The sequence below is a fragment of the Homo sapiens genome, chromosome 10 (assembly GCF_000001405.40).
Source record: "Homo sapiens chromosome 10, GRCh38.p14 Primary Assembly".
Taxonomy (NCBI): domain Eukaryota; kingdom Metazoa; phylum Chordata; class Mammalia; order Primates; family Hominidae; genus Homo; species Homo sapiens.
This window is the reverse complement of record NC_000010.11, coordinates 27,908,215-27,923,096: the sequence shown is the minus strand read 5'-3', so window position 1 is coordinate 27,923,096 and position 14,882 is coordinate 27,908,215. Positions and strand designations below refer to the sequence as shown.

At 35.3% G+C, this 14,882-nt stretch overlaps 1 protein-coding gene across 27 annotated transcripts in view, besides 1 other annotated feature; it reads left to right on the top strand.

The window, feature by feature from the left end:
• Positions 1-14,882, top strand: part of ODAD2 (outer dynein arm docking complex subunit 2) — a 187,508-nt gene that overhangs the window by 76,579 nt on the left and 96,047 nt on the right. For 10 of the 27 annotated variants that reach the window (XM_024448052.2, XM_047425405.1, XM_024448051.2 and 7 more), the window contains one exon: positions 1,806-1,934. The exons of the other annotated variants lie outside the window; for them this stretch is intronic. In XM_024448052.2, the coding sequence (XP_024303820.1) occupies positions 1,806-1,934 (129 nt within the window). The remainder of the gene's footprint in view (positions 1-1,805; positions 1,935-14,882) is intronic. 27 annotated transcript variants of the gene reach the window in all.
• Positions 10,860-11,560: an enhancer, noted in NCBI's record as "OCT4-NANOG hESC enhancer chr10:28200466-28201166 (GRCh37/hg19 assembly coordinates)". NCBI's record gives its function as "activates a minimal SCP1, AML or CMV promoter by ChIP-STARR-seq in naive H9 embryonic stem cells {active_cell/tissue: H9 hESC(naive)}" and the evidence as "EXISTENCE:reporter gene assay evidence [ECO:0000049][PMID:30033119]".

Sequence of the window (14,882 nt, the reverse complement as noted above, 5' to 3'; positions counted from 1 at the left end):
CTTTGTTCTTTGTTATTGCTTGCTCTTTAATTTGTTGTTCTTTAGAAAGGTTTGCATTTTTGTTCTAGTGGTTATCTTTGTACCTATAAATTTTTCCAGTGTCCTCATCCTCCTTCTTATTTAATCATTCACTATTTAGTTTTTTTTGTTTTTTGTTTGTTTGTTTTTGTTTTATTTTGTTTTTGTTTTTTGAGACAGAGTCTCACTTTGTTGCCCAGGTTGGAGTGCAGTGGTGCGATGTTGGCTCACTGCAACCTCTGCTTCCTGGGTTCAAATGATTCTCCTGCCTCAGCCACCATAGTAGCTGGGATTACAGGCATGCACCACTATGCCTAGCTAATTTTTGTATTTTTAGTAGAGACAGGGTTTCAACATTTTGACCAGGCTGGTCTTGAACTCCTGACCTCAAATGATCCACCCACCTCGGCCTTCCAAAGTGCTGGGATTACAGGTGTGAGCCACTGTGCCCAGCCCATTCAGTATTTAGTTTCTCAGTTTTTATTGGTTTCTTTTAATTCTCATCTATTGCCTGTATGGTAATCAATAGGATCATTCTATTTTTCTTTTTCTCCCTTCCTTTTCCTCCCATTTTTAAAGTGCATTATTTCTGTTTTGTTATATATAACATTCAAACATTATTATTCCACCATTGACCCTGCCTTTGTTTTAAACTTAGATCAACAGTTACATATATATTTACTTATATAATCTATGCATATGTGATTCAATTAGCTTAAGTTCTATAGTCTTAGTTTGGAGCTCATCCCTCTAGGAGAATCTTCAAAAAGGGCTCAGGGGTGCAGAATTCCCTAAATTCTTATATGTTAAAACTTGCTAAAAATACTCAGTGGACAGCCTTGCTAGATATAAAGTTCTTTTATTGTTGTTGTTTTCTTTTCTTTTTTTCTTTTTTCTTTTGTTTTCTTTCTTTTTTTTTTTTTTTGAGGCAGAGTTTCACTCTGTCACCCAGGTTGGAATGCAGTGGCACTGCAGCCTTGACCTTCTGGGCTCAAGATATCCTTCCACCTCAGCCTACCAAGTGCCTGGGACTACAGGCACATCCCACCATGCCCGGCTAATTTTTGTAGTTTTTGTAGAGACAGGGTTTCACCATGTTGCCCACGTGGGTCTCGAACCCCTGAGCTGAAGCTATCCACCCTCCTTGGCCTCCCAAAGTACTGGGATTACAGGCATGAGCCAAGGCGCCCGGCCTAAAGTTCTTGATTCCCAAGTTCTTTCATTAAATTACAAAAAAAAAAATAAAATACTGCTCTATTGCCTTGCTTCATAACATTTTTTTGAAAAGTCTGATGCTTGTCTAATTATTTTGCCTTTGTAAATTACTTGATTTTTTTTTTTTTGGACTGGGGATTTTTATCTTTGTAATCTAATAATTTTGCTAGGTTTGTCTCAGAATTGATTGCTGTTTGTCAACCTGAAATATAATTTATACAAATAAGGATAAATGATTTATTCCTCCTTTTTTTAAAAAAAAATCCATTTATATATGCATATAGATATATGAGTTGTCAGGAATCCCAGCAAACTCCAAGACTGATAAGGATTTTTTTTTTTAATTACTGGAATTCATGGATCTTCATGAGTTATTTAGTCTCTACTGTTCTTTTATACAAACTACCTGGCATACATGATTCAAAACATACTAAAAGTCTAATGCTCTAAATTTTCCATTACTTCAAAATATCCTTAAAATTTAAAGGTTAGCTTTCAACATGAGTAAGTGCCTGCCTATAAAAGAGTTAAATTTCATGTTCTTTTTTTTTTCTTTTTTTTTTTCGTTGGAGGTGGGGTCTCACTCTGTCATCCAGGCTAAAGTACAGTGGCATGATGAGGGGTCACTGCAGCCTTAAACTCCTGGGCTCAAGCGATCCTCCAAATTTCGTGTTCTTTAGATCAAGGAAATTAAGGAACAGGTATTTCTATTAATATTTTGTAAGTGCCCAGGATTCTAAGAAATGTTACCTAACAATTTACATAAATAATATACTAATTTCCTACAATTTCTCTTACAAAATATTTTCCTTCCACACGTTGTAAAGTAAACATTTGTTGGACTGATTGTTACATGGCCCAGTGTTATGTGATCGTGTAATGAAAGACTCTTTCACATACACAAGGATAGAATTAAAACTTACCATGGAATCTGTAACTCTAAATTTCCTCTCTTCTGTGGTTTAAACATAATTATGTTGCATTTACATAGTTTTTTTTTTTCAGTTTTTACATTGGGTTTATTTGTTCTTTGTAAAAAGGAGAAAAAAAGTAAAGCTATGCTTGTTTGTATACAGAAGAGATTTAATCTCTCTGTGGCTGCCCAGATATGTCTTTTGCCACAGAACAAGTCTTCGTGACCTTTCAGGGTTTATGCAAAACATAAAATAGAATATGTGTTTTACATGTTTGTATCAACAAGAACATTTTTCTTTCCTCTCACATTTTCATTTTTGTTTTTCATCTGCATACTTTTAAAGCACGTAGATTTAACTGAGATGCAAAAGTGTCAAATGGAGAGTAATTATGTGAATCATTTAATCTTCCGAATCTTGGTTTTCTCATTTTAAAACAGGCTCTAGGGATTTTTAAATTTGAAGATTATGTGGGTTTTATTTTTCCACATTCTGTATCTCATCCAGCCAGTTGTGATATGCACGCATATTAATAGATGAAAGAATGGGCTTCTCAGTACTATTTACTGTGAGTGGGCTTCTCAGTACTATTTACTGTGAGAGCGCATACGTGTATATGTGTGTTCACAATAAAATAAAAAGCCTTTAAAATTTTTTTAATTTGTAAACTATACATAAGGGAAAGTGAATAATGAAAATTAACACATTAGTAAATTATTGGAAGGGAAACACTTATGTAACTGCCATCCAAGTCAAGAAATAGAATATGGTCATTATTATAAACCTCCCGGCTGCCCGTCCTCACAGCCCACTCAGTGCCACCTCTCTCTACTCTGGGGATATCTCTTTTTTTTTTGCCTTTTATGGTAATTAGGACCTTGCTTCTTTTTCATAATTTTATACTTGAGAATTCATCCCTATAAACTATAGCTTAGTTTTGTTTCTGTTTGGAGTGTATCTGAATGAAAGCATAGAGTGTTTTATCTGACATTTTGTTCTAAATTACGGGTTATTTTTACACTTAATTGTTTAGTTTAGTGAGTTTTCATAATTGTATACAGCCATATAACCAGCAGGCAAAAGTAATTATAAAACATGTCCTTCATCCAGGAAAGTTTACTCATGTTATGTTTCAACCAATTTTATTTCCATTACTATAGATTAGTATTGCATATCCTTGCATTGGAATTTCTGAGTCATCACAGAGTATGTGTTTAACTTTACTAGAAACTTCCAAATAGTACACAAAAGTGATTGTACGATTTTACACTCCTACCAGTGCCAATACTTAGTGTTGTCAGTCTTCTTTAAAAAATTTAGTCATTCTAATAGGGTGAAATGGTATGTCATTGTAGATTTCATTTTCATTTTTCTGATAACTAATGGTATTGAGTAACTTTCCATATCTTTATTACCAATTTGTATATATTGTTTTGTGGCCTGTTAAAGTCTTTTGCCCATTTTTAATTGGATTGTTTCTCTTTTGTTGAAGTCTATTACATATTTTGAACACATATGCATTATTAGATATATGTACTGTGGAGTAATTTTTCCCCAGTAAGCATTAAGACTTCCTTTTGAGCAGAAACCTTTAATATGAGGAAGGTCAATTTTTCGGTTGTCCTTTAAGGTTCATGGGATTCTGTACTGTCTGTGATCAAACTAGTTTTTAAGTATGGCATGAAAGGGGGTCAAAATTAATTGTTTCATACAGTATCCATTTGTCCCAGTACCATTTATTGAAAACACTATTTTTCATTTGATTAACTTGGTATCTCAGTTGAAATTCAACTGATTGTAAATGAATGGGTCTATTTCTGAACTAATTTAAGGAAAATGGAAATCTTAATGATATTGAGACTGCCAATCCATTAATGAGGTATATATTGCCATTTATTTGGGTCTTTCATTTCTCTCAGCAATACCTTGTAGTTGCAATGTAGAGCATTGCACATTTTCCATTATACTTTTTCTAGTTATCTACTTATTTGTGGTTTTGTGATTGATAATTATTTTTAATTTTTTTCCAGTTTTTTTTTTTACAAGTAATGGATACATAATTAATTTTTGAATATACCTTTGTATATTCAAATATACCTTTATGTATGCTGGCAAACTTGCTAACTTTATTTTTTCCAATTTTTTTTGTAGATACCATAGGGTTTTCTACATGTAGAAATACATAATCTGCAAATAATGACAGTTCACTTCCCCCCACAATCCTTATGTCTGTTATTTCTTTTTTGTGTGTGCTTTATTAGGCAGGCCAAGACCTCTGTTACAATCAAATGAGTGCAAACATATATGTTCTGTACCTAATCTTGGGGAGAAAGCATTCAATTTTTCACCATTAAGTGTGATGTTAGTGGTAGGTTTTTGTAGATGTTTTATCAGATTGAAAAAGTTTCCTTCTATTCCTAGTTTGCTGTGAGAGTTATATTTTAATAAAAATAGATTTTTGAATTTTATACGATGCTTTTTATCTATTGAGATGATCAGATGATTTTTCTTTTGTTCTATAAATAAATAAGGTGATTTTTCTTTTGTTCTATTAATAAAGTGACTCACCATGATTTGTTTTGGAAGGATGAGCCAAACTTCTATTCCTTGGATAAAATCACTCTGATCATATTGCATTACCTTTTTCATGCATTCTTGCGTTCATGTTGCTGATATTTTATATTTTGTGTTTATGTTCATGAGATATGTTGATTTGTAGTTTTCTTTCCTTGTAATGTCTTTGTCAAGTGTTAGTATCAGGTTTATGCAGGCCCTATAGGACAAGTTGAGAAATTATTTTTTCTCTTTGTTTTCTGATAGATTTCGTGTAGGATTATTTTTTCTTAAATATTGATATAATTCACTTAGCAGAATTATCTAAGTTGGAGTTTTTTTTATGAAAAGGATTCCTTTTTAATTGGTTTTTAAAATTACAAATTCAATTTATTTAAAGATATGGCACTATGTAGATTTTCAATTCCTTCTTGGGTCAGTTTTGGTAATTTGGAAATATGTTCATTTTATTTTATTTCTTAGCCTAAAATTATTGCAATATCCTTGTATTATTCATTTTATTATTCTTTTAATCTTTGTAGATTCTATAATGATAGTAGTTCTCATTTTTCTCTCTCTCCATCAGTCTCTTTTTTGGGAGGACCATGGTCCATTAAAAAAATAATCTGTGAGCTAATTATCTTTATATTTTCAATTGGTTTTTCAAACAAAAACAAAAACAAAGCAAAGACTATTCAATAGAGCTTATATGTTACCTACAAAGCCTACAATATTTACTATCTGGACCTTTACTGAAAAAGTTTGTCAACCTTTCTTTAGTGGTTTACCATTTTTATTCACCTTTTAAAAGAACCTACTTTTGACTTTATTTTCTCTATTTTTGTCTATTCCCTGTTTCATTAATATCTGCCTTTATTTTTAATTACTTTATTTATTGTACTTATTTGTGTTTAACTTTTGCTTCTTTTTCTAGCTTCTTAAGGTAAAAGCTGTGTTCATTGGTATTATAGGCCAATTCTTGTCTTATATAATTTTTTAAAGGTATACATTTTTCTTTAAGCACAGTTTTAGCCTCATCCCACAAACATAAGTTGTGATTTCATTTTTATTTAATTCAAAATAGTTTCTATTTTTTGTGTGATTTACCTTGGACCCAGGGATTATTTACAAGTGCTGCTTAATTTCTAAAACTGGTTATTTTCCAGATCCCATGTTGTTATTGATTTCTAGTTTAAAACCACAAGGTCAGGGATGATATTATATGTGATTTCAGTTCTTTCATATTAGGCTTTATGACTCAGCTGTCTGGTCTGTATTTGTCAATATTCCATTTGCACTGAGAGAAAACTGTGTATTCTGCAGTAGTTTTATGCAATGCTTTTAAAATGTTGATTAAGTGAAATTGGTTAAGTGTGTTTTTTCAGTCTTTTCTATCTTTATCATTTTTTAAATTTTATTTTATCAACTCCTGAGAAAGGGGTGTGAAAATTTTCAATCATGATTGTAGATTTGTTTATTTGTAGTTTTTTCTTCCTAGAGCTGTCCCTTGAACAACACAGGGGTTAGAGACGCTAACCCTCCATGCAGTCGAAAATCTGTGTATAACTTTTGGCTTCCCCAAAACTTAGCTACTAATAGCCTACTGTTGACCAGAAGCCTTACCAATAGCATAAACAATTAGCACATATTTTGTTGTTATATACTGATTTCTTACAATAATGTAAGCTAGAGAAAAGAAAATGTTATTAAGAAAATTCTAAGGAAGAGAAAATATAATTACTATTCATTAAGTGGAAGTGAATCTTCATAAAGATCTTCATCTTGGTCATCTTCACGTTGAACAGGCTGAGGAGGAGGAGGAAGAAGAGGCGTTGGCCTTGCTGTCTCAGGGGTGGCAGAGATGGAAGGAAACCCACATGTTAAGTGGTCCCACACAGCTCAAACCCATGTTATTCAAGGGTCAACTGTATTTATAATTCTCTTCATTGACAGTGAGAAACTGACCTCCGTCCTTACTTATTTGATCAATTTCCCTGTATGTAACCAAGCTTTCATAATCATCCCCATCTCCTCCCCTTTGCAGATGCTCTCTTCACCCTGTGCTTGTTCTGATTTACCATGCTGGATTACCCAGCCTCCAAAATGTTCTCTTCACCCCATTCAGGCTCTAGTTCCCCATGTTAGGCCACCTTCCCCTAGTATGTCTGCCCTCCTCACCCTGCTCAGCTTTTGATCTCCTGTCATGCTGCTCTACTATATTGGCACTTTCTTTCACACTTTTCAGTCTCTGTCCCCACATACCAGGCTAATTCTCAGTGGGGATATTCCCCTTATTCTGCTAGGGTTCTGACTTCCCGCGTTGGGTTGCACCACTAAAGATTGCTTCAATCACTCTATTTAGGTTCTAATATCTTGTGACTGTTTCCCCCTACACTTAGAGAGATTCTCTCTTCATCCTTCTTGTGCTCTAACACTCCATGGTGGACCATTAAAACAACCTTGTTGGCTCACCTGCTAATTGAGGCCATATATATGAACAAATGTGAACAGTTTGTGTCCATATTGTAGGCATGGTTAAGATCATAGAGTTTCTTTCTGGCAATATCATGGATGACTACTTTGTTCTGCCACACACAATGGTTTTGTGTGCTCCACTTACTGGCTTTAGGGCTAAGGCAAGGGGAAGAGGATTTACTATCCCTTTTGAAGGATGTTTTCACTGGATACAGAAGTCTAGGTTGACAGTTCTTTTCCTTCTAGCATTTTATAAATGCCATTCTATTGTCTTCTTGCCCTCACTGTTTCTTATGAGAAGTCAGAATTTAATCGTATCATAATTCCCCATACCTACTGTGCTATATATACTGTTCCCTCACATTTAGATGTTGAAACTTAATCCCCATTGTGAGAAAATTTAGAGCTGAGACTTTTGGGAAGTGATTAGGACGTGAGGGTAGAGGCCTCATAAATGAAATTAATGCCCTTTTAAAAGAGTCCCCGGAGAGCTCCTTTGCCCCTTCTACCATGTGAAGTTAAGGTGAAAATATGGCTGTCTGAGAACCAGTAAACAGGCTCTCACTAGACACTGAATCTGCCTGCCTTTATCTTTGACTTCCCAGCCTCCAGAACTGTGAGAAATAAATGTGTGTTGTTTACAAGCCACCCAGCATATGGCATTCTGTTATTGCAGCCTGAAGGGACTAAGACGTATGCATTTTTTTTCTTTGGTTGCTTTTAAGATTGGCTTTTTACCTTTGGGTTTCAGCCATTTGATTATGATGTGTGTAGGTGTGGTTTTTACTTTCATTTATATTGTGGCTTTTACTTTTATTTAGGGTTCGCTGAGCTTCTTGGACCTATGGATTAATGTCTGCCATCAATTTGGGGGAAGATTGTGATTATCGCCTTCACAAATATTCTTTGGTCCCATTCTCTCTCTGTCTTCTTCTTGGTATTCCAATCATGCATATGTTGTTTCATTTAATAATATTTCACAGACATTGAACTCTGTCACTTCTTCTTCAAAGAGAAAAGGTCAGGCTTTTCTCTTTGTTTTTCTGTTTGGATATATTTTACTGCCTTGAATTTACAGATCCCTTTCTCTTCTGTGTCTAGTTTGCTGTTAAGCCCATCTAATGAATTCTTCATTTCTAATACTGTAGTTTTCAAATATAGCATTTCCATTTTATATACATATATAAAGTATGTGTATACATGCATATTTATATACACACACATATATATATACACACACATACATACATATTTATAAATAATGGAAATGCTATATTTCTCCTTTGCCTACAGAGGAGATAACCACAAATTGGTCATTAAAGGGAACAGATTAAACATATATTCTGCCTTTATGGAGAAACTGTAATTGAGCTCTAGTTAATGAAAGAAAAGCTCTTTTTCATAGAATAATGTCAAGTAACAAATTGAGAAAATGAACAGAATTAGAAAAATCACTATTTTACAATTCCCAATAAAATAATTATTTTAGGCAAGGATAATTAATGAATGCTAAAACTTAAAATAGGGAATGATTGTTGGAACAGAACTTTCTCAGGGAGACATAATATGACCCCACAGATTGTTATACAATGAAAAGAAAAAATGGCATCTTTAAAATGGAAAGGTCTGGTGGTCACCAGCGTAATTAAAGGACCAAACTCAGCATTGCTGAAAGTTGGACAACTAGATATTTTGTGCCTCTCGATGTGTTTCAATGCATGGGATATAATTGGCTCTCACTTAATATTTATTGTTTGATCTCATTCTTTTTTATGGCTGTGTAGTACTCCATGGTTTGTATGTACATTTTCTTTATCCAGTCTACCATTGATGGGCATTTAGGTTGATTTTATGTCTTTGCTACTGTGAATTTTGCTGCAGTAAACATATACCTGCATGTATGTTTATGGTAGAATGATTTATATTCCTTTGGGTTTATACCTAATAATGGGATTGCTGGGTTAAATGTTAGTTGTTTTAAGTTCTTTGAGAAATCTCCGAACTGCTTTTCACAGTGGCTGAACTAATTTGCATTCCTACCAGCAGTGTACAAGCTTTCCCTTTTCTCCACAACCTTGCCAGCATCTGTTATTTTTTGACTTTTTCATAATAGCCATTCCGACTCATGTGAGATAGTATCTTCTTGTGGTTTTGATTTGCAGTTCTCTAATGATCAGTGATGTTGAACATTTTTTAATATGCTTGCTGGCCACGTGTATGTCTTCTTTTGAGAAGTATCTGTTCATGTGCTTTGACCACTTTTCAATGGGGTTATTCAGCTTTTGCTTGTTAATTTAAGTTTCTTATAGATTGTGGATATTAGACTTTTGTCAGATGCATAGTTTGCATATATTTTCTCCCATTCTGTGGGTTTATCTGTTTACTGTGTGGATAGTTTCTTTTGCTGTGCAGAAGCTCTCTTCAGTTCAATTAAGTCTAATTTGTCCATTTTTATTCTGTTGTAATTGTTTTTGCAACAACATGCATAGAGCTGGAGAACATTATCCTAAGCAAATTAATGCAGGGATAGAAAACCAAATACCGCATGTTCTCACTTATCAGTGGGAAGCAAACACTGAGTACACATGGACACAAAGAGGGAAACAATAGACTCCAGGGCCTACTTGAAGATGGAGGGTGGGAGGAGGGTGAGGATCGAAAAACTACCTATCAGGTACCATGCTTATTATCTGGGTAACAAAATAATCTGTACACCAAACCCCCGCGACACGTAATTTACCTATTTAACAAACCTGCACATGTACCCCCAAAACTAAAAAGTTGAAAAAAGGAGAAACATATTTACTATATGATAATTTTTCTGACAAAAAAGATTTCTAGAGTCTTTCTAATCATATTGTTTATACCAACTATGAAAGCATAGGCTATCCTCCTGCTTTCCAAAGGCTAAAGAATTTCTGACATACTTATCCCAAGACTGCCACATTCACATCTTTTCTCCAAATTTGTTGTCCCATAGCCTCTTTGGAATAACACATAGAGGTAGAAACGTAAAAACCTTAAGGATTTTTTTAAAGGTAAAATTCTCTTCTAATCTGTTTTTCCCAGGGATGATCATTTTAATTCTGACATACATTTATGTTTCCCATTTTACTGAATTGCCAACTTGGTTTCAAAACTTGTAGATGACAGTCGCATCCTTTAATGTTGTGGTTTAAGAACGTCATGTTCTTTTAAGCAAACCACACTTAGTTTGAGCCACTGTCATACAATGGTATTTATCAGTGTAATTTTCACCAAATACTGTGAAGTTTTTAGAAAACATGCAAAATTATGATTTCAAAATAGATATGTTGATATTGCCAGAAAGAAACCCTACAACCTTGCCTGTGCCCACAGTATGGGCACAAACTGTTCACATTTGTTCATATATATGGCCTCAATGGGCAGGCGAGCCAGCAAAACTTCATAGCAGTCCTGGAAAATGTTAACATAACAAGAGCCTGAGAAACGTAGCAAACAGCTGCATCTTTTTGGTTTGTTTATTTTTTTTTAAATAACCAAAAGCACGTACATGTATTCATCTTTCTAGAGCTGTTATTTTGCCAGCCAGGCAGTTTGATTTCTGAGATAAAACTGAAGATCTTGAAAGCATGTAATTCAGTTTTGTTTTTATAATGTCAAGAAATTAATTTAGGATTCTATTGCTATGCAAAATGAGAAGAGCTACCATACTGCTGGAAATGAATTCAGAGCAAGATGCTAATCAAATTAAAGAACTATATAAGGGGTAGACCTGTTGAAAATGGAGAGTGGTATAAATTAACACCACCTATAAGCCCATCAGTGTGTATGCAGAAAGCAATGAAGTTGTCAAGAAATTCTGAGAAAATACACTTTCCACTTAGAGACAACTTCAAATGAAAACTTTACTGCTCCGATTTAGAATTTGAACGTGTATTTTGCAAGTATGAGGTTTAAGGAGGAGTGTACTTGTGTTGGGAGAGATTTTTGATGCAATGAAAAAGAGTAAGCAAAGGCTGTCTTGTTTCAGATCCATTTCATCAGTATTCACTGGTGTGGTAGCCTGCTGGGAGTGTGGTGGGAAATACAGAATTCCTGCTGTCATGGAGATTACATGGTAATTGGGGAGATAAGAAGCACACAACACAAGACTACAAGGCAAAGTAATGTGGTATGAGGGGCAGGAAAAGGGAGTGCAAAATTAAAAAGAAGCTTAAAGGAGGAAGATGCCAGAGAATTTGCGAAAGAGGTTTTGTTGTAGACCTTAAGTGATGGATTACTATGTAAAATACGGAGATGGCTGGGAAACAGCAATAGTTGAAAGTGCATAACGGGGAGAAGCTCTGTGGCCTGTGAGTAAACTGGTGTCTTCTGTCTGTGTTCATGTGAAACTCCACGCTCACATCTATTGCAGCATTTATTACAGATTATAATGGTCTGTTTATCACCCTCACAAGACTGTAGTTTCCCAATGGTCCATTAAAATACAGTCAGTCCTCATTATTTGCAAATTCTGAATTGATGAATTCATACAGTCTCTAAACTTTATTTATAACCCCCAAATCAGTAGTCACATCACTTGCGCTGTCATTCCTGGACACGTGCAGAGCAGGGACACATTTTGAGTCACCTGGTGCATATGTTTTCTGCTGAGGTCCAAAAAGGTGACATTCTGACTTTTCGTTCCAGCTCTCACACTGTGAACAGCTTGTCCATTTGGCAATCTGTTTAGTGCCACGTTTTTCACAGTCTGTGCTCTGGGATGGTGATTTTGCTGTTTTAATATGGTCCCTAAACATAGTGCTGAAGTGCCGCCCAGTGTTCCTAAGTGCAGGACGGCGGCGATGTTCCTTTTGGAAAAAAATCTGTGTATTCCCTAAACGCCATTCAGGCACAAGTTACAGAGCTACTGGCCATAAGTCCAATATTCATGATTCAACAATCTATATTTAATAAGGTGTCTTTAAAGAGAAATACACGTGAAACAACGTTATATATTGATTGGTTGATGAAAACATTCTGACTAGAGGCTCACGGGAACCCACTTTATATATACCCTAGGAAGGGTAGTTCACTATTTGTTCATCAAAGGTTTGCACTGACTTGATAGAACATAACTTCCCCTGATGAGAATTGACTGTATCTGTTTTTTTGTTTGTTTGTTTGTTTTTTGTTTTTTTGAGACAGGGTCTGGCTCTGTCATCCAGGCTAGAGTGCAGTGGCGCAATCTGGGCTCACTGCAACTTCCACTTCCTGGGCTCAAGTCATCCTCCTACCTCAGCCTCCCAAGTAGCTGAGATTAGAGTCGTGCACCACCATGCCTGGCTAATTTTTTTTTGTATTTTTTGTAGAGACAGGATCCTTTGTTGCCTGGGCTAGTCTTGAACTCTTGAGCTCATGCGATCCACCCACCTTGGCCTCCCAAAGTGTTAGGATTACAGGCGTGAGCCACCGTGCCTGACCCAAGTGTATCTGTTATTTCTGTATGCCTAGTACTTAGTGTTTAGTAGATAGCCAAGGAGTATTATGAGAAATTCCAGCCCCCTAAAAAATTTAAATACCGAGCTCTGGAATTGCAGGTTTAATACCATGAAGGCAACGGGAAGCCATTGGAGACTTTTTTCCCTAGGAGTGATCTTTGGGTTGAGAATCGTTTAACAAGCGCTGATCAAATGTGCTAGCTAGTGTCATGAACAGAATGAATATCCCTGGCATCCTGATCTCAAGGAGCTATTGCAGAAATTCTAAAAGTGTCTTTAGGAAAATTAATTTTGCTGGGATTTATAAGATGGATTGAAATTGAGAAAAACTGAGGACAGAAAACCAAGTTATTCCCTCACACAACGATCCTGATATGAAATGGTAAAGACTGGGATTTGGGTGCTAAAATAGAAAACAGGGAAATGGGCAGATACTTGAGTCATTGTGAAGTAAAATTTAGCAATAAATGACTTCATGCAGAGGATGAGGGAGATGGAAAGGATAAAGTTAAATTCTAACTTACTACTCCTGACTTTGTTAGTTCCTATGGTTGCAAATGTTTTTCAATCATGTTCTTGTCATAGGAAGTTATCATTCCGTAGTGTTCTGAGTCTTTTTTTTTTTTTTTTTTTTTTTTTCAAATGAAGACTCACTTTGTCGCCCAAGCTGGAGTGCAGTGGTGCAATCTCGACTCACTGCAACCTCCACCTCCTGGGTTCAAGCGACTCTCCTGCCTCAGCCTCCTGAGTAGCTGGGACTACAGGCGCGTGCCACCAAGCCTGACTAATTTTTGTATATTTAGTAGAGACAGGATTTAGCCACATTGGCCAGGCTGGTCTTGAACTCCTGACCTCAAGTGATCTGCCTGCCTTCGCCTCTCAAAGTGTTGGGATTACAGGTGTGAGTCACTGGGCCCCGCCCCTGAGTCTTCTTTTAAGACACCAGTAATGAGATCAAAATCCTCACTCATTATAGCTAAGTAGCTGATGAATTGCCTAAGGTTTGGGGTGAAAATGGTAAATGATAGATCTAATTTTACAATTATAGTGAATTTTTATAGTTAATTGTGAAATTTTGTCTATAACTTGTTTTAAAGTTAATTGTGAAATTTTGTCCAGGATTGAATGTTCCTTTTTTTAAATTGCAAATTTGTGCCATCCAAATGACTTCCACTGCAATGACAAGTTATTTCTGTCCAGCAATATACAGTTAAATATCACTAATGCCAAATTTGCTGCGAAATTTTCAAGAAGATAGGGCAGGCCATTATTCACTGTTGTTCATTGTGAAATTTTATGTGAAAAAAATAGAGGCTCAGAGATTGGCGTTAGTTATATTTTAAGTAGCATATGGAAGGCAGTATGACTTTTCAATTTAAATTTGAAAAGCAAATCCTTCATTGTGAAGTGCTAGTATGTTTCTTTAGAGTTTCCATTAATTGAGAAATAAAACTGTTTTCTCTCAGCATGGTATGAAAGTTTTAGGTTTGAAAACCTACTTACTTAAGCTTTGCTTTAAAATAATTTTTACGTGTATTTTTTCTTATTAGAAGTCCTTTTTAAGACAGTTTTTATCTTACTATCGGCTATTTACATCACCAGTTTTTTTCAATGCTCTTTTTCAGCGTCACCAATTTTATAAAGTTATGCAAAACTGATCTCCTACTTGAAAACTTTGGAATAATACATTTTTCCCCCCTGGTAAACTCATCTAAGATAATCAAGACATCTAGATGTTTTTACGTCAATTTTCAAGGAAGAATTTGAATGGCATTTTAAGCTAGTATTTATTCTATCTGTGGCTCAATACTACATGTGTTTAATTCAACTTGAGATTAAAAATCAAAGGAATTTTGATGCCCTTTATCTTTTTTCATCTGCTTTGAGTTTAATATACCTTTCCGAAACAAAGCCATGTTTGTAAAGGTTATTAAGTTTTGTTTGGCCTTCTTCTCCGCTGTGAGTACCCAATGGACCTTACTGCGAGGTTATGCTCCTGGACTGATTGATATATAAACAGAAGACAGATGGTGGAGAGATGGCTCTGATGATAATTCATTTTTCAGCTAGTCATGAAGCTATTTTGATTACAGTGTCTTTAAGTAATTATAACACAGTCTGCAATGTTAGTCTTGCTGGGAAGGGTGCACATGGAAAACAAGTTACCTGTTATTCATGCCCAACAAAGGATGCACTGTGGTGTAATGATTTTAATTCCTAATGCTAGATTAGGACTGAAAGC